Source organism: Homo sapiens, chromosome 1 (assembly GCF_000001405.40).
Source record: "Homo sapiens chromosome 1, GRCh38.p14 Primary Assembly".
Lineage (NCBI taxonomy): Eukaryota > Metazoa > Chordata > Mammalia > Primates > Hominidae > Homo > Homo sapiens.
Genome location: NC_000001.11, coordinates 7,275,074 through 7,299,951, shown reverse-complemented (window position 1 = coordinate 7,299,951; position 24,878 = coordinate 7,275,074). Strand labels below are relative to the sequence as shown.

Sequence of the window (24,878 nt, the reverse complement as noted above, 5' to 3'; positions counted from 1 at the left end):
CAATGACACTTAAGCTTTCGGGGCACCTCTGGTTGCACGGGCCCCTTCTAAGACTCTAGGTCTCATTTTGTGTTCCTTATTTTGTATTGCTTATTCTTACACAAGGTCCTATAAAACTGAGATCTGCCCTGATCAGAAGTCAACTTACATTTCAAAGCAAAATGACACAAACCAAAGAGAGGGGCTAGAAATCCTGTCTCAGTGAGGGGTTGGAACACCTCCTTGTACCCTCTCACCCACAGTCCCTGCTTGTACAGGGCACTGATTGGGCGTGTGTCTCTGTGTGGGGTTGGGGCATTGCTGCCTGAATGTGGCCAGGGAGGAGATGGAAGTGGAGGCTTAATCGGAAGGTTCCAGGAGCCTGAGACACAAGGGCCAGCGTCTGACTCCGGGGAGCCGCTGGCTCATTGCGAGGTTGGAAGCTCTCCGAGTCTGAGTCATGCAGCAGCAGGAGGCAAATTGCCCAGACTATAAACAAGTGGGAGAATTCCAGAGAAAGCCTGGATTACTGGGGTGGTCTGTACCTCCCACCCCCTGCTTAGTTCATATTGAGTCACATACAGCATTACATTAAGGGGGAGAAACTGCTGACAGCACTGGCTTCAGAGTCAAAGGCGAAGCTCTTGCTCAGAGGCTCAGATGATTTCAACAACATTTTTAGATGTACAAAGTATGTTTCATATAAAGAAATCAAGTCATTGTTTCATATACGATTTTATTATGAAGAAGTAATATCTGCTTAATAAAGAATCCATGAAAACGAAGGAAGCACTAGGCAGGGAATCAGGTCTCCCCACCTCCAGCACATATTTTAAAACAGAATTTTCAGAGACTTTGAATTTTCAGGAAGCAGACCTAGAGAGGGGAAGGTACTTGCTTAAGGTCACACAGCAAGTCAGTGGAGAGGCAAGATGCAAACTCAGGACATCTGACTTCATCATCTTGGCCCCTTAGTCAAAGCAAATAGCCTCCTTAGCTCATTGCTACAAAAGGAAACAGTTGAGTCCAAAACCCTTGGGTCTGGTCGGCAAGGGAAGAGAGAGGAAGGAAGGGTGAAATGTTGGCTGCTCGGGACTGTTCTGTCTTAAACATTTTGGTGATTCTCTTCTGAGCCCATTAGGGACTGACTCACCCACGTGTCTGAAATGGTCCCTGAGTGCGTTCCTGGGGCCCTGGATAAGGAACTGGGAGAGCTTCAGAACCTAACACAATGCCTGGCATTTGCTTAATAAAAGTTTGCTGGATAAACAATTTGGTAAATATATATTACAAAATGTATTGATAAATACCTAATTCCCCCAGAGAGAAGTGGTAAAATTCTAATATACAAGAGACCTTGGTAACCTGGGGCCCTTTAGAAACAAAAATCTAGAATTTCCCCTGTAGCAAATGACCGGAATTCCGCCCCTGTAGATGGTGGAAATGTACTTGTGTAGACAGTCCCAGAAGAGAGGGCTGCATGTGGCAGGTCAGGCAGTATTAAGGGTCCCGTTTCTATTCATGGCTCATGGCCAAGAAAAAGATACTCACTGGCCCTCAGAGTAGAAATACATTCCTGGGGACCCCAGGGGATCCACAGGAACTTGTCAGTGACTTTCATAGAGAGGAAAAGACCTGCGGGGTGGGGGGTGGATCATGCATCTCTGGAGAAGGCTAAAATGACAATGCAGCCCCTACTGTTATACCCAGGGATTCCTGATTTGTTTCTCTGATGCTAATCCTACACCCCGCACAGGAAGGCCACCCTCGTACTCAGCCCTGTAGCTTGCCATCCAAAGGCTTCCCATTGAGTCTTCCTTGAGAATCCTTCCCTGGGAGTCCTCTACAGACAGATACCAGCCTAAAAAGGCAACTGAAAAGAATTTACATGGTCTTTGTTCATTTCAGATTATAAATTGTTTGACTCAATTTTATTTCAACTGAAAGGACTACAAACATATATAGAACTGCCGCTGACAAGGGTGATGAGCTGGTATAGGGAATGGGAAGGAATGGTAAACATTAAACCAAATAGATATTGATTCCTGCCACAATGAAGTGACTAGGATTGGATTTGCCCTCCTGCTGTAAACAATCATGAAACTAGACAAAAATATCTGAGGCTACTCTTTGTAGGGATTGTACAACAGGCAGTTCAGGACTGTGGTTCTGCCAGAAAAAAAACACACAAGATAAGCCCCATGTTTGCCCAGCCTTTTGGCCCATTATGCAGGACGATGGGGCACAGCAGCCTAGATTATAGGAGAAGGCAAAAATCAAGAGTTTGGGGCTGCTAAAGCAGCTAGAACTTACAGGTCTGGGCTCTGGAGAGAAGAATCTTGTGCAGAAAGTAGGCCCTAGAAGTCTGCCTGGAGGTACCCTGTGAGTACTTGGTTGAGGGCAGAACTGCCCACATGCAGGGCAAAACTCCATAGCTGTTATAAGACTGAAAGCTAAGCAGAGATACTAGAAGTCATGCAGAGCTGGCAGAGCTTTGAATTCTGGCCAAGCCAGACGAGAGAACCCTTGCTGAGTACCTTGGGCATTTGTTCCCCAAAAGGCCAGGCCTTAGGAACAAGGACTATACCCTACAGGAAAGGCCAAAGCCTAGGAATAAGGGCAAAATAAAAATGGACCAACTCTAATAAAGATTCAAACCAAGCCTGACCAGACCAAGAGGATCTGCCAGTAATTAACTGACCTGCCAGAACAAAATTCAACACCTTTTATAGAAAACAACATAACCCACACTCCCCTACCACATATCTTCTAAAATATCTAGAATAGAGATATACCATGTTCATGGATTAAAATTGGACTACAGATTTAACAAACTCAAAGAGCTTTTTACTCTTTTTGGGCAGGGAGAAATTATTTTTGCAAAATTAGGACATTTCTGAAAATACAGTTTTGTAGCTTTCTTTTTCCATTTGGTCCTCCATCCCCTCTCACCAAGCATTTGGCACAGCTAACCATTTCCTCCTTCTTGGAAGCCCCTCTTCACCTGGCTTCCAGGTCACCATGCTTTCCTGGTTTTCTTGCCCCCTGTGTCTCCATTTCCTTTGCTGGCTCTCCCTTTTTGTCCAGGCAGCTAAATGTTTTAGGTGTCAGGGGTCTAAGTCTTTAGTCATTTTCTCTCCTTTATACTCTTTCTCTCGGTGGTCATCCGTGATTAATGACTACAAAAGTCTGTATCTCTGGTCTGACTGCTCCCCTGAGCTCCAGACATATGTATTCAATGGGCCACTTGACATCTACATCTGAACATCACCCTTGACGTGGCCAAAACAGAACTCTTTATTCTCCCCCTAGACCTGCTCCACTACCATCATCTTCTATCTTGAGGAATAGCACCGTCATTCACTCAGTTTCTTAGGCACCCAACTTTGGGATCATTGTTAACATCTTTCTTTCACCTTATTCCCACACCCAAATTATCAAGAAGTTCTAGCAACAATCTCTTCAAAATGTATTCCCAGTCAACCCACTTCTTCCCATCCCCACTACTGCTGAAGTTCCTGAGTCATCATCTTCTCTTGTCAAGAAGACTGCAGCAGACAGTGTGTGCAACTAAAAGGCAGAGCAATGGTCCACTGTGGTAGTTAGGAGCACAAGTACTGGAGCCAAACAGGTTGGGATCAAACCTCGGCCCTGCCACTCACTAGTTACATAGTTATGTAACCTTGGCCAAAATACTTAACTCTCTGGGCCTCCATTTTCGTCTGTAAAGTGGGGTTCCTAATGGCACTTACTTTACTGGGAAGATGGTGACTCAAGGTCCCTGGCGTGTTCACTCTCTCTGGCTCTTCTCACTTGCTCACTCTGATGAAGCAAGCTTTCCTGTTGTGTTCCATGGAGAGGCCCACATGGCATTCACCAAACAGCTGGAACCTGAGCTCTTAGTTCAACAGCTCATGAGAAACTGTATCCTCCCAACAACCCCATGATCGAGTTTAGAAGTGGATTTTGACTCAGTTGAACCTTGCAATGACCACGGCCCTGGCCAGCACCTTTTCGGTAGCCTTGTAAGGAGCCCTGAGTGGGAGGATCAGCAGAGCTATGCCTGGCCCCAGCCCACAGAAATGGTCAGATAATAAATATGCATTGTTTTAAACTGCTATGTTTGGGGATAATTTGTTACACAGAGATAGATAACCAATACACCCTGCTCTATTTTCTCTGTGGCACTGATCACCTCTTGAGATTGTATCTGACCACTGTCAGTCTGCTGCAGGTAAGTGACAAGGGCGTGGATATTTTCTGTCTGTTCATTTTTGAATCTTCAGGAACCAAAACCATGCCATGGAAAGTACTCGATAAATATTTGTTGAACTGATGAATAAATTTCACACAGTGGGCATTTTCCCATGTGGCCGTGTGATACTGAAATGATGAACGCCTGGAAGTAATTTGGAATATACTGCTTAATTCACACTCCAGATTCCCAGCATCACTAACTATCCAATCAGTCTGTTTTACTCAAACCCTTACCAGGTGCCTAGAACGCTGCTAAGTACCACTGTGCAGATCCAAAGGAAACACACAACAAGCCCTCCCCTCAGGGAGTTACAATCTGGTTGAAGAGGAAAAGGCCTGCTTGTGAGAATGAGTAGAGGGGTTTAGTTCTCAACCCCGGGGCACTGAGTGAAAGATCACAGATGGAGATGCAATGTAGGAGACAGGGCCGGAATGGGTCCCATGACAGCATTGAGTACGGGCATGTGTGAGGCACTGTTCCCAGCATTGTCCATGTGTTGCCCCGTTCCAGCTTCCAACTCCAGGGAGGCAGATGCCATTAGGGTCCCTGTTTACAACAAAAAAAACCCCAAAGCCAGAAGGTTACATAACTGCCCGAGTCAGATGTAAGTGAAGGTGGAGTCAGTATTTGAACACCTGAAGTCTGACTTCAAGCCAGTGTGCTTGATGCTATCAGTGATTGGCCTGGCAGCAAAGCGGAGGTGGTGGATTCCTCCTGAGGTCTGCCAGCATAGACAAGGAGGAAAGTCCACATCAGAACGATCTTGGAGACCAGACCAAGTGCAGAGGGGAGTCGGGAGTCACGGGGCAGATGCGAGAGGACCAGGGAGAACCAGGGACACACTTGTGATCAAGGGCCTTGCCTTGGAGGCCATTTGGTGAAGGGTCCACGGAGAGTCTCTCTGAGACTTCACCCTGGTCTGGGCTGGTCCTCACCTGCAGGCTCAGAAGCCCCTGCATGACTTGCAGCCTCTGACAGTGACTGTCAAATCTTTAACCAAGTTCATAAGGCACAAGGATAAAATCACAATGCCCATTCGTTAATGTCAAGAACCCACTACTCCAGGGACCAGAATGCTGTGTCACTGACAGCATTCCCTCTGGAAGCTGAACGAGAGCAAAGTGGGTGGTTTCTACATTGAGGTTTTGGGTGAATAGGGCTGAAGCAGCCCTTTCTCTGCAGAGCTGGTCTCACCGAGGAATATGAGCAAGCAGGATGCTGGCCAAGATCACCTGTCCCCCGCACACTGCTGCCCGCAGCCTCTCCTTTGTCTTGCAGACACCTTCCATCAGAGGCAGTCTAGCAGCCAGTGAGAGCTGCTGTCCTTTTAAGGTGACTGTGCCTCTCCGTGGTTTCATAACATCCAGAGAGCTGCTGAACTTCCCTACCAGCCAGCTCCAGGGAGAAGCTCACCATCCATAGCCCCCCAGTCCTGACACTCAGCCAGTGTTAAACAGCGTAAACCCCTGAAAGGGCCACATCCTGGCTGAACAGAACAGCCCCACCACAAACCACCGAGGGAGCCTCCTGCCACCTTGGGTTATCCCCTCTCAGCCTCTCCCTGCCCCAGCTTGAGCACCCCCATCATCAGTGCTTGTGATGGAGGGTGAGCTTGTTCTGGAGGGACCTTCTCTTGAGGGCACCAGGATCAACTAACGCCCTCTGCATAGAAATGAGGAAAGCCTGGATTATTCTGGGCTTTGGACACAACTGTGCTTCCCCTGGGAAAATGCCTGCCGATGATATCTTTGCAAGCTTTAACAGGTGGGAAGTGCGAGGCTGCTAGCACGAAGCAGAAAAAGGATTACAAAAGCCAAATGCTCATTACTACAAAATCTCCTCCAACAGGCTCCAAAGAGGCCCCCCGGGGCATGCCGAGTTTTCAGAGAAAAGCGAGGGGCACGGGAGAGCTGGAAACCCTGGGCAGCCATCGGGAGGCAGCAACATTACAAGAACCAAGAAGATGCTCCCCAGGGGAACCCCAATAACTTGAAGCATTAAGCTGGGATAATTCATGTTTAGACTCCCCCACTGAGAGTCCTAAGTGGGATGCAATCTATTTCCACCCCCCTTCAATCTTATTGAAATACCAAGCATTTTGCTTGTAAAAGATGAAAACAGACCACCAAATTATACAAACTGTAGTGATAAATACATTTCCCAGTGGATGGCAAGAAAGCAAATGACAAACAAAACCGGGAACACATGCACATGGATCATGGAGCCATCCGGGCCTCTGCCCCACAACACCCCATGTACTCTATAAATCGGCTCATTGTGACTCTTCTGTCTTCACTGACAAACGACCAAATGGGCTTTGCTCACACCGAGTGCCAGAGAAATGCCAGCCCTGAAACAGTGTCCAGGTGCAGGAAGGAATGATTCTCTTGGACAAGTGGCCTGCCAGCACGTTATCCCTTGTCACAGCAGGCCTCTGGCGGGAGCTCCTGGAGACGAGTGGCGGTCTCTCATCACCCAGACAAGGTCTGCATTTGCTCCCCAGCCTTTACCAGCCCCAGCTTCTGCAGCGCAATCCCTTCCCAGGAAGGCAGCCCCACCCCGTCCCTGTCCACTGGAAAGCAGTAGAAAGGGGGCAGGAATACAGCAGAAAAGCAACGAAGCCTGGGCTCTGGAAGCTCCAGTGACCCAGCAGGGAGTAGGACACCCCGCCGGAGCTTGCCACTTCCTAGGGTGGTTCTTCCCCAGGATTCCCAGGAGGCAGGGAGGACATGCCTTCCCAGAGATCCCACCCAACCTCTGCCTGGTGTGACATGGGAGGTGGCGCTGGGGTGGCCTAGTGCTCTGTAGGAATTCCTCTGCCTGCTTCCTAAAGGCGGAAGCGAGGCTGCAGGAAACACGTGGCATGGGATCAGTTGTCTTCTCAAAGGGAACTGAGCCCATGAAGGGCAATAAGAACTCACTTGAACAAAATGGTTGCATTTTCTCTGAGTGGTCCGTGGGTGCAGAGGAGTGCAGAAACGCATGCAAGGATTTGGCATCCCTCATAGGAACTGGGAAAAAACTAAGCAGCTCTTGATAATTTTCAAAGGAGGAATTCAATCAGGGATCAATTCAGAAATTTAAGCCAGAGCTGAGTCTGAGCTTCTCTCTCCTGAGTACGGAGAGTGGGGAATTCAGCATCTGGGCTCACATTCCTAAGAAAAAGGCAGTACCCGTATGGATCATCTTTCGAGAAATAATTAAGTCTTCAGGATGAATGGCGAGGCTGGGGGAGCAAAGGTTAGGTGGTTTTAATGCCACATCCAGCCTCTCCGGAGTGTTCAAGCAATTCCCATAAAGATCCACAGGAGACACACATATTCACCGAAGCTGAAATACAAGGTGGCTTCAAGAAAACACAGAATATTGGCTCTGCCTGCTAAATAAGTTCTTTCAAAGAACTTTTTTTTTCCCTTTTGAAACTGCCAGGACGTAAGAGTAGTTCATAATTGATCCCCAGAGAAGGCTCTGTCCAATAAGCCTTCCCTCTAGCTCACATCCCAGGAAGCCGCAGAACAAGCCAGCGCTTCAGCAATTCAATCTCCATATATTTTATTTTAAAAATATTTCATTTCTGGCCACCAGTCCTTAGATCTCCAATTTGATTTGGTTTCTATAAATGGATTTTTCAAAGTGTAGGTGGAAAGTAGATTTAATTGCGAATTTCTGCAAACTAAAATATTCAATATAAACGTCAGAGTATGTTTGCACCCAGCATCCTCCCTGCAATGCACACACCAGCTTTAAGATGGGCACACGCACCCTTGGATAGTATTCTCAGCTGTTTCCATTTACAGAGCCCAGTCAAAACAGCGGGGGAAGCTGGCATCTGGTTTTCTTCCCTGCACCACTTCCTGTTTCCAGACAGTTGTTGGAAGGAGGAATGTACCTCTAGAGTTTCAGCTAAGAAGCCAAATGTGGGTGACAACCAAAACTGTCCAAGGGCAATGCCGCCAATGGAGTGGAGCCAGGCTGGCTGCCCAGTTCTCACTGGCCACCCACTCCTGGGCTAGGCTCTCTGCCCTTCCAGTTCTGCCAGTAAAAGAAATGTGAAGGCTTAAAGCCCAGTGAGTGCTGTTGCTGTGATATCAGCCTCCTGAGGTCAGGCAGCTGAAGCAACACCCAGAGGGGATCTCCCAGCAGCGCTTAATTCATCGCTAGGGCCCAGAAGACAAGCTGACCATTTGCTGGTGTGATGAGGGGCGTGCACACAGAGGAAAGCTCAGCCAACTGGGAACAGGCTCTGGGCCAGGCACTTAACATTCATCTCTGAACAACTCCTAGGAGTTGTGCACTGAAATTCCATTTCAGATGACGAGACTGAGGCCCACTGTTTTCACGTAACTACTCCAGCGCAGAACTGGGTCAGGCTGACTCCATAGCCTAGGTTCTCCCTAACAACATGGCACTCTCCCGAGATACACTCTAGGGAGATTCCCCACTCCAGCACGATGGATGATCCTGCCAGAGTCCAGCACCCCCTTTGTCTCTGCCCGTCTTCGTCCCTAACTTTCCCAGCCTCTGGGTACTGTGTCTGTCATGGAGTGAAGGTCCTTCTAGGCTTTCAGTAGGTGCACTGCAAGGAACCCAGATATGGCAGCCCACCCACCAGTGCTTCACTGAGCACCTTCCACAGCAGTCCCGGCAGACTCAGAAGAGGAATGTGGCAATGGGATTGGGAGCATGTTTCATCCCACACAAAAGACACTGCACTCTGCAGGGGGAAACCAGGGGTCAGTTCCCATTCTGCCACTGAGAGCTGAGTGATCCTGTGAGAGTCACTTCACCCCCCCAGGAGCCCCCATTTCCTCATTTGCAAAATGAGGGACATTTTAGGACAGTAAAGTTAAAAGGAACCTCAGACTTGTTGGTAAAAGTATCGATGGAATAAATGTTAGGGGTTTTCTATTCATTGGGAGTTTCATTCTATGACTGTCATCTGTCGGAGAGTCCCCGAGAGCCACAGCACTTGCTGGCATCATGTGATAATGAAAATGATGATGGTAATAATAATAAAATGAGAATAATTTACGTCGCAGCAAGTAAAGCTAAAGATAGCAGTCAGTTTATATGCGGAGAAAGCACTAAAAATGTGTGTCAATACACGCAGGAAGATAAAAGCAATACGTGCATGGGGGGGGTGGTTGCAACACATAATTTGGAAATGCAAAATGGCCCAACAGAGACCCAGAGGTATGGAACTTTCTAGTGAACATCCCAGGCCCCGAGTTACTCTCACTGAAGGCAGGTGTCCCCTGCCCAGGTGGAAAGCTGGGTGACATATAGTAACATCCACTACTCCACATATATCTCTCTTTCCAAATCTAAAACTCAGGGACATGCACTGCTTCTGCTGAGGTGAGGGGCAACCCGTAAGGAAAGAGAACATGGTGTTTTCATCACCTAAATCCAGAGGGACTGAATATGATGCAGGAAAAAGCTCCAGGCCAAAGGAAGGCACTGTCAAAGGCAGAACCGAGTTTCCTCACCCCATCCCTTCCCTCTGCCAGGCCATGTCCACACGATGGACTTGATAATCATTCTGATGGAAATGCTGCACATTTTCATGGCAATTGTACAATTCCCAGTATTTTCCAATGCACCTCACATGTTCCCCACTATATCAGTCTCTCAGGGCTTCCATAACCTATTGCTTACAAACTGGGTGGGTTAAAGCAAGAGCAATTTATTGTCTCAGAGTTCTGGATGCCAGAAGTCTAAGATCAAGGTGTTGGTAAGACCACATCCTCTCTGAAGCCTTGGCAGAGATTAAGGTGTTGGTAAAGACCACACCCTCTCTGAAGGCTTGGTCAAGATTAAGGTGTTGGTAAGACCACGCCCTCTCTGAAGGCTCTGGGGAGGAGCCTTCCTTGTCTCTTCCAGCTTCCAGTCTTGTGTCAATTCTGGGTGTTTCTCAGCTTGAAGACACATCCCTCCAGTCTCTATCTCTGTCTTCACGCAGTCTCTCCATGCCTGCCCTGAGTCTGTGTGTCCTATCCAAAGGTCCCTGTTCTTCTAAGGACACCAGTCATTAGATAAGGGCCCACTCAAATCTAGCATGACCTCACTTAATATGATTAATTAGATCTGCAAAGCCTTTATTTCCAAAGAAGGTCACATTCTGAGGTTCAGGGTGGACATGCCTTTTGGGAGGATACTATTCAACCCAGGATGCCCACAAACACACGAAGGTGAGAGTGCAAACCGGGGCATCTCATTTTATAGATGAGGAAATGGAGCCCCTGTTCCTCTTTCTCACCTGCCTCCGAGGACAGGGTGCCCCTTCCTCTCCAAGGACAGTCCTTCTCCTGTTATCTCATCCTCTTGTCTTCCTTTGTCGTCTGGGACTGGATCTTGAAACCACACCTTCTCCCTCTATTTTTCATTCTCACCCCTCCTGCTCATTTCCCTTTGCTCAGACACAAGAGGCTGGAAAACTCCCACCCTCACTGATATGGTTTGGATCTGTGTCCCTGCCCAATCTCATGTTGAATTGTAATCCCCAGTGTTGGAGGTGGGGTCTGGTGGGAGGTGATTGGATCATGGGGGCGGATTTCCTCCTCGGTGCTGTTCTCATGACAGCGAGTGAGTTCTCATGAGATCTGATTGTTTAAACGTGTGGCACCTCCCTCCCCTCTCTTCCTCCTGCTCTGGCCATGTGAAGGGCTAGATTCCTTTTTGCCTTACACCATGATTGTAAGTTTTCTGAGGCCTCCCCAGAAGCCAAGAAGATACCAGAATCATGCTTCCTGTGCAGCCTGTGGAACCAGGAGCCAATTAAACTTCTTTTCTTTATAAATTACCCAATCTCAGGCATTTCTCTGTAGTAATACAAGAACAGACTAATAGACTCATCCTGACTTTGATCCTCCTTCCCCAACTCTCCCGCTAATACCAAATGCTTCACGAGAGCCGCCTGTGCTGGCTGCAGCCACCTCTCACTGCTCTCTGCTCCAGCCCTAGCTTTCTGGCTTCTGCTCATCACTTCTTGGGCTTTGCATGGGCACCAGGGATCTCACGGTTACTGCTCTCTTTCAGTCCTCTTCCCCAGTATGCTTCTGTTGCTCATAGCACAATTCACCAACTCTTCCTTCTCAACTTTTGATTCACCCTTGGTTTTCCTGCATCCAGCACACTGCCCTGTCCTGAGTCTTTTCCTGCCTGCCTCTCCTCTTCCATGCCCACAACCCCAAACTCTCTATTGACTGAACGGCCCACACTCAACCAGTGTGGTTGAACTGGTGGTTGAACATTCAACCAGTGTTCACTAAGTATCCTTTGGGCTATGGACAATGCAGAGATGAACGTCTGACATTAATTCTGAAACTTCAAGTCTAGTTGAGGAGATCAATTAAATAACCACAATGCAAAGTAAAATAGAGATAAAGTGCTCTGGAGACAAAAAGCAACCCCTTCCTGTTAGGAAAGCACTCTAGATTATAAGCTCTTTGTGTGGGAATGAACTGTGCCGTGTATTCTCATACCCCCACGGTGCCCAGCACGCAGAGCGCTACGAGTGTGGGCTTCAGAGTCACACAGTCTTATTCCTGAATCCCGGCTCCACTGCTTATCAGGGAAGGTCAGGTGGCCTCTCTGTACTTCAAGTTATCCATACGTAATACGGATAATAATAGCACCTGGTCCATGGGGTTCTCTAGAAAATTAAGTGAGATAATACACACATGCAGAAACTAACTAGTCACCAAACTAACTGGATAATTTTCTCTTCCTGGACAAAGAAAGACTGTATTTCCCAGCCTCCTCTGTAGTTAGACTGGCCATGGGACTGAGTTCTGGCCAATGAAATGAAGGTAAAATTGATGTATGCCACTTCCAGGCCTGGCTGCTACAACACCTTCACTCTCTTCCCTGTCCTCAGGGATGAGAAACAAGGACTCTAGGATGGTGGAGCCACACAATAGAAGGAGCCAGGATCCCTGAGTCACCACCTGGAGGGGAACCACTCTGATGCAGCATTTGCCTCACAAGAGTTGCAATGTGAGTGAGAAATAAACTTGAACTTGTTAAGCCACTGGCATTCCAGGGCTTGTTTATTACCAGCACGTGGCCTAACCTAGCCTGACCAATACAACATGTAAAAATATCAGTGGTGATGATGATGAAGAAGAAGAAGAAGAAGGAAAGGGCTTGTTTATTACCAGCACATGGCCTAACCTAGCCTGACCAATACAACGTGTAAAAATATCAGTGGTGATGATGATGAAGGAGAAGAAGGAAAGGGAGAAAGGTAGAGGAACTTGGTTAGAATAGCTCAACTCAGTCCCAAGAGCAGTTACAAATCTCATGAGAATGTGATGCTCAGAGGTCTTCCCTCTCAGATGACTATCGCCCCATGTCCACACCATCACAGGGAGATGACATCCGATTTGAGACCTAAAACAAATTCACAATGATGGCCATATTCTCCCTGAATCACACTGCCATGCATTCTGCAGAACACAGGGGCGCCCTTGGGCCCTGTCTCCCCCTGGCTGCTCACTGAGGTCACACTGCCCCGCCTGCTGAAATCCCTCTCGGTAGCACCTCTCTCTCTACCCCAAGCCTGTTCTCCTTGCCGAGTGTTTCCTGATAAAAATAACTTAGCTTTTCCTCATTCTCTGATCTTCCAAAAAAAGTTGCAGTTGCTCCAGGCAGCTGATCTCTGCTAGATCAAATCAGATGAGTTAATTTACTTACTGATGGAGTAAGTCTCAGAGTGACCATCACAATTTTGACACTTACAGTGATAGAGGTAAGAGTAGCTCCAGCTTCTGTTTACTGAGTGTCAAGTCGATGGAAGGCACTGAGCTAAACTCTCCATAACAATCTGGAGTCCTCAGAGCACCTCTGTCCTCATTTTCAGAGGAGGAAACTGAGGCTTAGGAAAGTTAAATAACTTGCCTGATATCTTACTACTCAGAAGTGTAGAGCTGGGATTTTCACTCTTTCCACTCAGCCTCAATAGCTCCCCAAATCTCTAACTTGTTGACTGTTAGGCAGGGATATTTGGGGTCATTTAAGACCCTTTACAATCTTAGCCTAACATGCTCTGAGATACGACACCTGTACTCTAGCCCAGCAGCTCCAAATATCTCCACTTCTTATAGAAACGCATTGCTGCCAAAATCCTGCATTGATACTACAATGATTCTGTGCATTAACGTCAGCCACAGGTACATCTCCCCAGCCTCAGAGGATGACAGCAGGGTGAGGGTGACGACCCTGAACGTTCATGATTCCAGCCCAAAGAGAAGAGATTGGATGCCACGGCCACAGATGCACCTGTCATGGAAGATCTCTGTTTGGACCTTCAAAATGCCACCAATAGCTGAAGACCCCCATGACGATCTTCCAGGACCACCCATAGACCTCAAATCAAGAATCGTTGCTGGGGCAGCTCTAAAAGCACGTGGCACACCCTGGCGCCTCCGCCCCTCCACCTGTGCCATCAACTCCACCAGATGCCCATCTCTGCCTGACCTGCTCCTCCTCACCCTTCAGGGCCCAATCACATGCCAATCTCCCTGTGAGGTCTTTCCTCTCTGCCCCCCACCAGCAGGCTCACTCATCCCCTCAGCACGCAGGCTGTGCACACCTCAAGAACAGAGACCATGTGGCGCTGGTCCCTGAGTCTTCAGAATCTGGCATGGTGCTTGGCACACAGCAGGCTCCATTGGCCCGGTGGTGGGTACATCTGAAACAGCTGATTTAGAGAAAGCATGCTAGCGGGCAGGTCTCTTTCCTGGCCTCTACACTGTGAAAAGAGGACACATGTGGCCTGGGAATTTGTAGCAGATTTAGAAATGTACATGGTCACCCCTATCATGAGCCTCCTGTTGGTTCTAGTTTTTGAGGTGGGGATTTCAGCCATCAGTGGGGCTCCAAACAGGTGACACCTAATCATAGTGGCTGCCAGGTACACAGGTGTCGTTATGGGCTCAGGGGCCCTACTTTCACCCCAAAAGCAGGCCCATGTGAATCTCTGGTTTAGAATAAAGAGATAGGCTAGATCTTGGAGCTGGTTCACCTGTGCGCCGAGTTCCCCTTATGTGATGTTTAGGTTAGAGGGTTCTGTTGTACCAACATCTTTAAAATAGCTCAGCTCTTTAAAGACCATAGAATCTGTGGTCTGTATTTCAGAAAGAAAAAAAGGCAGCTTTTGAGCATCTGTTCAGAGGAGCTGCCATGAGACAGGCGAGGCACTGGGAACTCCCTTCAGATAGTTTGGCGAGAACCACTGATCATCCGTAGGCCCAAGTGAATAGTGCCATGGGCTACAATGTTCCCATAGAGGCAGCCCCATGGCCAGGGTCAGCTTGCACGTCGCAGAACTTCCCGAAGGTGCATCAGCGCCACCCACCATGAAATGCAGTGCGAGTCCCAGACTTGGCTGGAAAGCTGCTCCAATACCTTCCAGTCTGGGGTGTAATTACCTGACAAGGATTCTCTCCATCTTCTCTCAAATTAAAAGAAAACAAAGAACAGGAAATGGGCTCTCACTGACTCATTTTCTCATCATCAGTGGTGATAGGGGCAGGGGTGCATGGAAGTGAGCTGCCTGTAAACAATCTATCCTTGGATCCCTCTCTCCCATCAGGCTGAACATCTCTCTCTAGGACGCATGGCCACTGGGGCCGCCGGACCAAAAGGAGCCTTGGAGGGCCAGCCACCAGAGGCCACCAAGCACCCTGTGGGAGGGTCTTGGAAACCAATGGGTTTCCCAGAGGGCTGCTTGAGTTGTGTCTTGTCCCCACATATGGAGCTGGAAAGCGGAGGGCTCCCTCCACTGGGCTATCCTTCCTTGCACGAGTTCTGTGGATTCTCTAGGAAGGAGTACCAGACACCAGGGAGAAGTGGCCCCACCAGGGAGAAGTGGCCCCATCAGTGAGGTCAGGAAGTTGTTGAGTTACGACCTGAAGAGTGCAAGAAGGAGGTAAAGCGAGGAAAGTGTTCCAGGCAGGAGCAGAACACGTGCAAAGGCCTTGTGGTGGGTGGGCATGTGGCGAGCACAAGAACTGCAGATCCAGTTAAGCACAGGGAAGGAAGAAGCCCACGGCCCAGGAGAGGCTGGAATGCCAGGAGCCACAGCAAACGTCGCATGAAGGACTTACTCTGCAGTTAGCACACTTGTGAGCATTCTGCCCATATTAACCCATGTGTTTCTCACTACAGTCTCTATTTTACAGATAACAATAGCAAAATAAAAGCAGCAAGCCTGGACGTGGTGGCTCACGCCTGTAATCCCAGCACTTTGGGAGGCCAAGGCGGGCAGATCACGAGGTCAGGAGTTCAAGACCAGCCTGGCTAACATGGCGAAACCCCATCTCTACTAAAAATACAAAAATTAGCTGGGCCTGGTGGCACGGGCCTGTAGTCTCAGCTACTGGGGAGGCTGAGGCAGGAGAATTGCTTGAACCCGGGAGGCAAAGGTTGCAGTGAGCCAAGATTACGCCACTGCACTCCAGCCTGGGTGACAGAGCAAGACTCCTTCTCAGAAATAATAATAATAATAATAATAATAATAATAATAATAATAAGAAGAAGAAGAAGAAGAAGAAGAAGAAGAAGAAGAAGAAGAAGAAGAAGAACAGCAGCAAATACCGAAACAGCATTTCTATGTGGCAGGGCTGATCTAAGGACAGTGGCTGTGATTGACTCACTAATCCTCATAGATGAGAAAACGGGAGCACAGGGGCAAGCCCCACAGGTAGGGAGAGGAAGAGGAACTGGGACTCAACTTGGATAAGTGGCTCCAGATGCCTAGTTCCTAACCAGAGAGCCACAAATCTCACCCTAAGAACGGAGCAGGGACTGATGGGGTCTGCACTGTGGAAAGACCCCTCAGCTGCAGCATGGAGAACAGGCTGGGGCAAGCAGTCCATGTAGAAAGATGATGTCCTGGTGGTGGTAGCTTGGGCTGCTATGATGACCAAGGAGATGGATAGAGGAAAAGGTTGGATTTTACAGCTCCCAGAGGAAAAGGGAATGGAGTTTATTTGGACAAGGGGGTGATAGAGGGCTAAGAAGGTATCAGGAAATACTACCAGCCTTATGACTTGCACAACTGAATGAATGGTGCTTCCTTTCATGAAATGAAGATATTTGAAGATGAAGATCATGACTTGGGGTTTGGACTTAGGGGAGTCCAAAGAGTCTAAGGGGAGACGTCAAGTAGTGAACATTTGACATCCACCATGGGATGGGTGGTTGACTCTCCTATCTGGAGCCCAGAGAAGAGGACTGGGACAGAAATAGAGCAGTGTGAGTCACCTGTGTGCAAGTACCACTGGAGCTGTAGGTATGGATGAGCTGGAACCTCGGAGAAAGTAGAGAGCGGGAAAGGAAGACAGTTTTGCCCAAAACTTGAGGAGGGCTGACCACAGAACAATATACATCCATTCAAAGATGGGATCACAAAGCATATGCAAGGACATGAGAAACCATGCACAACATAATATTATGTGGAAAAGCACAGGTGGGGTGTCTCCTGTAGTTGGGGTGGCAGTGTGTAAAGTGCATCTTGGTGGAGGTTGGAGAAGGGTGAGAATACACAAAATCCTTGCCTGCAGCGGTGAGGTTAGAGATTTTTTTTCGTATTTACTCTTCTTTATGCTCTTTTATATAATTATTTATTCAACAAATGTTTGCAGAGTACCATGATTTATTTAACTTGTTCCTTATCATTGAAGAGTTAGGTTGTTCCAAATTCCCACTATTATCAATACTGCTGTAATGAGCATCATCCTACATGAATCTTGCGGACATTTTGTCATATTGTCCTTGTCTTGGAGCTCCCTGTCTTGGTGCTACTGGAAAACCAGAAAAAGGCTATGTCACGAGACACAAGGGTGTTAGGACTGCAGCTTTCCTGTTTGAAAACTATCATTGTTCCTGATGGCCATAGGCAACAAACCCATATCCCTCTGTCCCCCAGTGTTGTGTAAATACAGTCACCTCTATCCCACTGCCACCCCCTGCCCAATCTATTTCCCTCCCTCACTGCAGGCTCCCTGAGGGAGGGCAGCCCCAACTCTCCTTTCTGGCATATCCTTCTTTACTCAGCCTTCACGTGGAGTCCTTCTAGAGCTTTAGATCCAGAAGGAGTGGCCAGAGAGGTCACCAAGACTCAGATTTCTAGGTCAAGGAAGCCTAGAAAAGGAGTTTCAGGAAAGAGGCTGAAATGAACTGTCATCAAATGCTACCCAGAAATTCAGCTGAGATGAAGAATAGAAACCACCCGTCCAGTTGAGTAAACTGGCAGTCGCTGGTCCCTGCTGGCCTGGTGATTCTGCTCTTCCAGATCTGGGGGCAGTTATCAGAGAGGTGAGAGCTACAGGCAATGAGAAAGAGACTTTTGGAGGAGAGAGAAGGCTGGACTTGGGCAGAGGGGCAAGAGCAGATGGGGTGCATGGAAGAACCCAGTCTTGGAGCTACTGGAAAACCAGAAAAATGCCATGTCAGGCGACACAGGTGGTTGGGCCTGCAGGATCCCTGGGCAAGCGTGCTTCGACAATTGCCATTTGGAGTTCCTCTCTAGTGTACTGAGGTATTTTTAATATAGTCTATGAGTCAGAAAATCCAGAAGAAATGAGGCTCCCTAAAGCTCTCTTTCTATAAGAAGGTGGAGTGATCATCTCCCTCATTGCAAAATAAAGGGCTGAACTAAATAGCTGCTAAGGCTCCTCTCTGCTCTTTGACTCTCCTTGGGAGCAGCTGTGCATTCTTCAGGATGACACAGAAAGCCCTGGCCCTGGGTGGCCGAGGTCCAAGAAGCGGAGGAACATGGATTTCTGGCACAATGGGAAAGAACAGGGGGTTGGTTTCTACCCGTTCCACAAAGTAGAAATTTGGATTTAGACTCATTAATCATACACACACACACACACACACACACACACACACACACACACACACAATTTCTTTCCCCTTCCATAAACAACAACAAAAAAAATCCACATGGATTTGGAAAATTTTGCAATGATAATTTAAAAACCACTTAATACCCCGTGAAATTCAAGCTGGTAAATTGAATGGACAGTGATATTAAAATATTTCATTAGATGCTTTTTATGCCAAATTAAGCTGCTGCAATTATATTGATACTCACAGTCTGCATTAATCTAAAACTATTTTAATACTTTTTCTAATTTAGCATGATTAATTCTTTCATTTAAGAACATGCTCGTTTTCAAGTTTTGATTGTTTTCCTACTTTGCTGCTTTGACTTCTCTTTCCCTGAATATTTAATTTACAAGAGATTCAAATTCAAGGGGATGAAATCCAATTTTTCAGGACATCTACCTACCTGGTAATAAGGTTTTACTCTTGTTTCTACAACTTTTATTTTCTCCATGTGGCAGACCAGGCCTTTGACATATTAACTGTAAAGCAACTCAATTTATTAAATATATACCTACAACCTTGAAACCCAAAAGGCCACATTTCAAAGAGATTCTTGAATTGGTTTGCAGAATTAATATTCTGCCAGTTATAAAGAAAAAAAGTTACAAGTCTGTGTTTTTCAAACTGAACGAATGTCTTTAATATAATTTCTGCTGCCAGTAGGGGAACTAGACATAGAGGTACCCTTTGTTTAGGTAAAGTGGCTGGTTGGGTGAATAAAAAGAGAATATGTCCATATTTGCCAGTGCTCATAATTTTTCTGCAGAAAGTTCATCAATGGAATAATTAATTCTGTGTTTGTAAATAATTTGGCTCTTTAAGTCAAAACAAATGTGTCACATTTTGGATTCTTGTTTATGAAATATGTGTTTTTGTTTTTCAGCAGTTCTCTCCTAATTTGGCTTTATTTTTAAAAAGTGTACAAGTTACAGCGCCAATTTCTTTCTCCATGATGCACCACGCCATTGTCCTATCAATTACTATGACAATTCCTATCCTTCCAGACGCTAATGTCATTAGTCCATGGAGAACCTTTTGAAATAATTTACATAGAAACTGCCTTTACATGCTAAATGAAAAATGCGCAACTATAGTCAATGGAATTTGAATTACAATCCCACCACTGGCGGGTTGGTTTCATTTGTGCTATTTATTAAACAGGAAGAAGGTGATGCAGTCAATTACAAAGCAATTACCTGAACAGTGACTGCAAACCGGTGCCACATGGCAATTATAATGCTGCCTCTCCAAGAAGGGCTTGCCCTTGGTTGCTCTTTCTGACATCCACGTGGCACCCTGGGCCCACCCTTAGCATCCTGCCACCATTACACTCAGCAGTGCACAGCCAGAGCCAAGCTGCTTCTGCAGAAACCTCTTCTTAAGGTCATAGACTTTTACTAACCCCAGGGATGTCATACTTGGGACAGGAGGGTCTTACCCTATAAGCAGGGAGCTTGGGAAGCATTCTAGCACTTCCTCAAATGAGCCAAGGGAAAGCTGACTAGATGAAATCTTCAGTGTTCCTTCCCTGGTGGGCGCAATTCAGAAAACCAGAGGGCTTCTCGCTGACTGGCGAGCCAGATGGGGCAAAGGAAATGAGTGTGAGGCCAGGTGCCTTGGTGCCTCAGTGCCCAGGTGGGCAAAGGGCACAGACACACATCAGGCTGGGAAGACTGGTTACTGGGTTTTGGTTTTTGGTTTTTGCAAAGCCAGCATCTCTGACATTTGCAAGGATAAAGGCATCCAAAGAGGGCTGAGAGGTCTGTCTGGATGCTGCAAGTTCTACCAGCAACGAGCAGGCTCCTTCCCTGGTGCAATTCACTCCCTCCCGCTCTGGACCTGGCTGGCATAGAGGCCACTCCCTCTTCCTGCTCTCCCTTCCAACCCCAGGAGAGGAGGGGACTCTGGATACTAAGGGTCTCTCTTGGCAAGTTCTTTTTTTTTGGTCTAGAGGGACCACCAGCAGTAACCTGAGGCTGTAGCTCAGGCTTCTTCTCATTCCAGGGAACAGACACAGGGAAGCCAACTCTCAAAGTCCTCCTCTTGCCTTGATTCCAGGCATTTTAGCATTCAGGCTGAAAACGTCCCAAAGCCCCACACTGTGGGCTTTGGAAGTACCAAAAACAGATGCCGAAGAGAGAGCTTGGCCCTCGGCACGGTGCCGCATGGGGTCGGAGGCCAGGAGGTTATCTCTGCAGAAACCTGACCATTTTGTTTATGGTGTTCTGACAATGCTCAGAGCCATGCAGAGCAGCTGCTCCCCGTACCGAGCTGCTTGACATTCTGCCGAGAAGGTGGCTGCGGCTCTGCAAGGATGACTTATGACATTGACAGCTTTTGGGGCTGCCGGTCCCCTGGCTTCCCTGCTCCAAGACCCGGGCCATCTGCCTCTTACTTAAGCCTGAGGCCCAGAATGTTAGCACAGGGAGAAGAAACTCACCAGAAAAGAAAAATAAGGAGAAGAGAAACAGAACTGGGACCACCTATTTTAACCAATAAGTCATCCCTCCCATGTGAATCTGCCTCCCACCCCAGTGGATGTGCCTGGCAGAAGCGTGGGCAATGTTTTTACAATAATCAGAGGATGACACTGCCCTGCTTACAAGCTTTCATGGGCCCCATCGTTCTCAGGTTACATTCCAAACACTTTCACATAGGTGCACTGCGGGGTTCAGTGCCCACCTGCTCACCAGCCCCCTCAGGCTCTGCGCTCTAAGTACCTGAACTGCCCACCCTTCATTTCCTCCAGCACACACTTCCTCAGGCCCCCAGGGCCTTTGCATATCCCTTTCCCCCACCAAATGCCTTCCCCTTCTCCTCATGGCCCTCCCCAGCCCCATTAACTGGCAACCTCAGTGAAACATCACTTCTTCAGAGCTTCTCTCTCTGATCCCCAGATTAGATCATATCCTCCTGCTCTCAGATCTTAGAGTTCCTGCACTTTTCCTCTATGGCAGTAATCACAGTTTTTTCATACAATTGGATGATTAAATTGTATCTCCTCTACCGGACTGGAAGCTACGTGAGGGCCAAGACCTTGTCAACGCAGCTCTCCACTATTCCCCTTCCTGGCCTGTGGAAGGTGCTCAATAAATATTTCTAGAGTAAATGAACCCCAGAATCAGGATGATTAGAAAACGAAGACTGACAAGTTCAAGTCAAAAACTCAGGATTGGACTTAGAGAAAGAGCTGGACCCTGGCATTTGATCCACGGATCTGTGACGAGCTAAGTGACCTTGGAAATTATTTAAACTTTCTGAGCCTCAGTTTCTCATCGATGAAACATTGCAGAGTTGTTGTAAAATTCAGATAATGCCTGAAAAGCACTTATTGTAGTAAAGGGTAGCTTCCATTTTTTTATTGTTGTAGTTAATAAATGGCAGAATGGCAAGTTGGAAAACTTACTACAGAACTCTGAGAAGACACTAGAGTGAGCTGTACAGTTCCCCTCCATGAGCTAGATGAATGCTTTACACACATCCCCATGGTGATGTGGTACAAATGACTTTTGCTGAACAAAAGGTTTCACCCATCACTAAGTCAATAACACTAGGCACCAGGTGTGGCCCCCACCCTGCGCCAAGTCCTGTGGGGTGGGGCATGTTTGTTAATCAGCAGGACTTCTCAAACATCCCTAGAGCAGTTGTAAATTAACACAGCCTTTCTGAAGGATGATGTAGCCATATGGAGCTAATTTTTAGGCAGTTATATCGTTTAACCCAGCACTACTATTTCATTTCTAGGAATATTCTCCAGAAAACAATTGTTCAGGTATGAAAAGCCTGGTACCTAGTAACTCCTCAAATAAATATTTGTTGAGGGCTTACTATAAATAAAGATACAAGGATCTTTCTCACGGTGTGATTTCTAATGGCAAATAGTAGTAATAGTCTCAATGTCTAATGTCAGTGAACAGGTTAAGTATATGATATCACACAGAGTCATTTAAAAATATGTAAATCACTTAACATGGAGTCAAGTAAAAAAATACAAAATAGCATATATGATATAACCCCTTATTTTAGTAAAAAAAAAAAGTGTGTGTATGTGTGTGTATGTGAAAAGCATTCAGAAAGATGGACATCATAGGCCATTATATCAATGTCTTCCTTGTCTTTATCTACTATCTGAAGTCTTCTACAATAAATATAAATTCATTTTCAAACCATAAAGAAGAAAAAACTGCTTTTATTCTGAGAAGGGGGAGATAGAGAGGAGATGATATATAGTCTGCCATGGAGGGCCTTCTTGGGAAACTCAGTTTATCTGTAAGTTAATTCAAAAATGAGAATGAGAATGAGAATGAGTCTCTCTCTCTTACACACACACACACACACACACACACACACACACACCATTGCTTGGAAAGATTAATTTAGTTCTCTAGTTTGGCTCCTCAGAAAGTTCAGAAACTGAACCCTGAAATCTACCTCTTTGGAATATCAACTCAGTGATACCAGTATCACATCATCTTGATTACTGTAGCTTTAGATTAAGTATTGAAATTAAGTAGGGCAATTCTTTTAACTTTACTTTGATTTTTATAAATCCTTTTAGCTATTCTTGGTCATTCTTATGCTATATGTAAATTTTAAAAATAGCTTGCCAGTTTCTACAAAAAAGTCTGATGAGATTTTGACAGGGATAGCATTGAAGCTATAGATCAACTTGGAGAGAACTGCCATCTTAACAACACTGAGTCTTCCAATCCATGAACATGGTATATCACTCCATTTATTTAAGTCTTCTTTAATTTCTGTCAGCAATGTGTTATAGTTTTAAGGGTACAGGTCTTACATATTTTGTTAATTTGATCCTAAAATATTTCAAGGAATATTTTATGTTATTTTACACTGTATTTTTCTTTATCTTTGTTTTCCAATTGTTCATTGCAAATATGTGAAAATATACTTCAAAAAAATATTGGCCTTGTTCCTTTGGCCTTCCTAAATTCATCTACTAGTTCCAGTAATTTTTATTAGATTCTTTAACACTTTCTATGCACATGATCATGTTGTCTGCAAATAAAAAGAATTTCACTCCTTTCTTTTCCATCTGTATGCCTTTTATTTCTTTTCCTGGCCTTATTCAACTTCCTAGGACCTCCGGTAGAATATTGAATAGAAGCAGTGAAAGTGGACACATTGATGATTTCCCAGTCTTAGAAGGAAGTACAAGAATATGCTATTAAATATGATCAGGTGCCTGGGCACGGTGACTCACACCTGTAATCCCAGCACTTTGGGAGGCCGAGGCAAGCGGATCACGAGGTCAGGAGATTGAGACCATCCTGGCTAACATGGTGAAATCCTTCCTCTACTAAAAATACAAAAATTAGCCAGGCATGGTGGCGGGCGCCTGTAGTCACAGCTACTCAAGAGGCTAGAGGCAGGAGAATTGCTTGAACCCAGGAGGCGGAGGTTGCAGTGAGGCGACGTCACACCATTGCACTCCAGCCTGGGTGACAGAGCAAGATTCTGTCTCAAAAAGAAAAAAAAAAAAAAAAAATATATATATATATATATATATATATGATCAGGTGTAGGCTTTCTGTAGATTTCCTTTATTGGATTGAGGAAATTCTCTCCTATATCTAGTTTGCTGAAAGGTTTTTTTTTTTAATCATGAATGGGTATGGAATTATATCTTTTTCTTCATCTGTTGAGATGATTATATGGTCAATATTCTTTGTTCTGTTAATACAATTAATTACATTGATTAGCACATGTTAAACCAACTTTGCACACCTTCAATCAACATAATTAATCGTGGTGTATTATCCTTTTTACTTATAGCTGCATTCCATTTGCTAATATCTTGTTATGGATTTTTACATCTATGTTCATGAGAGATATTGGTCTGTAGTTTTCTTGTAACGTCTTTACCTGGTTTTGGTATCAGATATCCTGGTGTCATAAAATGACCTGACAAGTGTTCTATCATCCTATATTTTCTGAAAATGTTTGGTAAGCCTAACATTATTCTTGCCTTAAATTTTTTTAAATCAAATTCACCATGAAGGAGGTTTCTTTTTGGGGAAAGATTTTAAATTACAAACTTAATTTAATAAATATAGAGCTACTCAGATTTTCCATTTTGTGTCAGTTTTAAGAATTTTTATCTTTTAAGAAATTTGTCCATTTCATTGAAGTTGCCAAATTTATTTCCATAAAATTTTCATGATATCCTTTTCTGACACCTCTTAGGTTACCTTTAATGTGTATAGCATCTGTAGTGATGCATCCTTTTTACTCATATTAATAATTTGTATATTTCTCTGTTTCTTAATCAAGCTAGCTATAATTTTTCAACTTATTGATCTTTGAAGAGAGATAGCTTTTTGTTTTATTAATGTTTTCTATTGTTTGTCTACTTACTATTTCATTTATTTTATTCTTATTTTAATATTACCTTTTTCCTTACTTATTTTGGTTTTAATTGGTTCTTCTTTCTCTAGCTTCTACATGTAAAAGTTTAGGTCACATTTTAAACCTTTGTTAATATCAATTACATTTACTGATTTTAATGTAAATATAGTGTAAGCACTTCAAACTATAAATTTCCTTCTAATATCTGCTTTCCCTGTACTCCATACATTTTCTATGTGGGGTTTTAATTTTCATTCATTTCAAAATATTTTCTTTCTTCTTTTTTTTTTTTTTTTTGAGATGGAATCTCACTCTGTCTCCCTGCCCAGGCAGGAGTGCAGTGTTGCGATCTCGGCTCACTGCAACCTCC

General features: G+C 45.7%; 1 protein-coding gene across 25 annotated transcripts in view, besides 2 other annotated features; it reads right to left on the bottom strand.

Annotated features, from left to right (window-relative positions):
- The window catches only part of CAMTA1 (calmodulin binding transcription activator 1), a 984,253-nt gene that overhangs the window by 469,755 nt on the left and 489,620 nt on the right, over nucleotides 1–24,878 (bottom strand). The gene's annotated exons all lie outside the window — the stretch shown is intronic.
- Nucleotides 5,260–5,777: an enhancer, noted in NCBI's record as "H3K4me1 hESC enhancer chr1:7354235-7354752 (GRCh37/hg19 assembly coordinates)". NCBI's record gives its function as "activates a minimal SCP1, AML or CMV promoter by ChIP-STARR-seq in primed H9 embryonic stem cells {active_cell/tissue: H9 hESC(primed)}" and the evidence as "EXISTENCE:reporter gene assay evidence [ECO:0000049][PMID:30033119]".
- Nucleotides 14,920–15,421: an enhancer, noted in NCBI's record as "H3K4me1 hESC enhancer chr1:7344591-7345092 (GRCh37/hg19 assembly coordinates)". NCBI's record gives its function as "activates a minimal SCP1, AML or CMV promoter by ChIP-STARR-seq in naive H9 embryonic stem cells {active_cell/tissue: H9 hESC(naive)}" and the evidence as "EXISTENCE:reporter gene assay evidence [ECO:0000049][PMID:30033119]".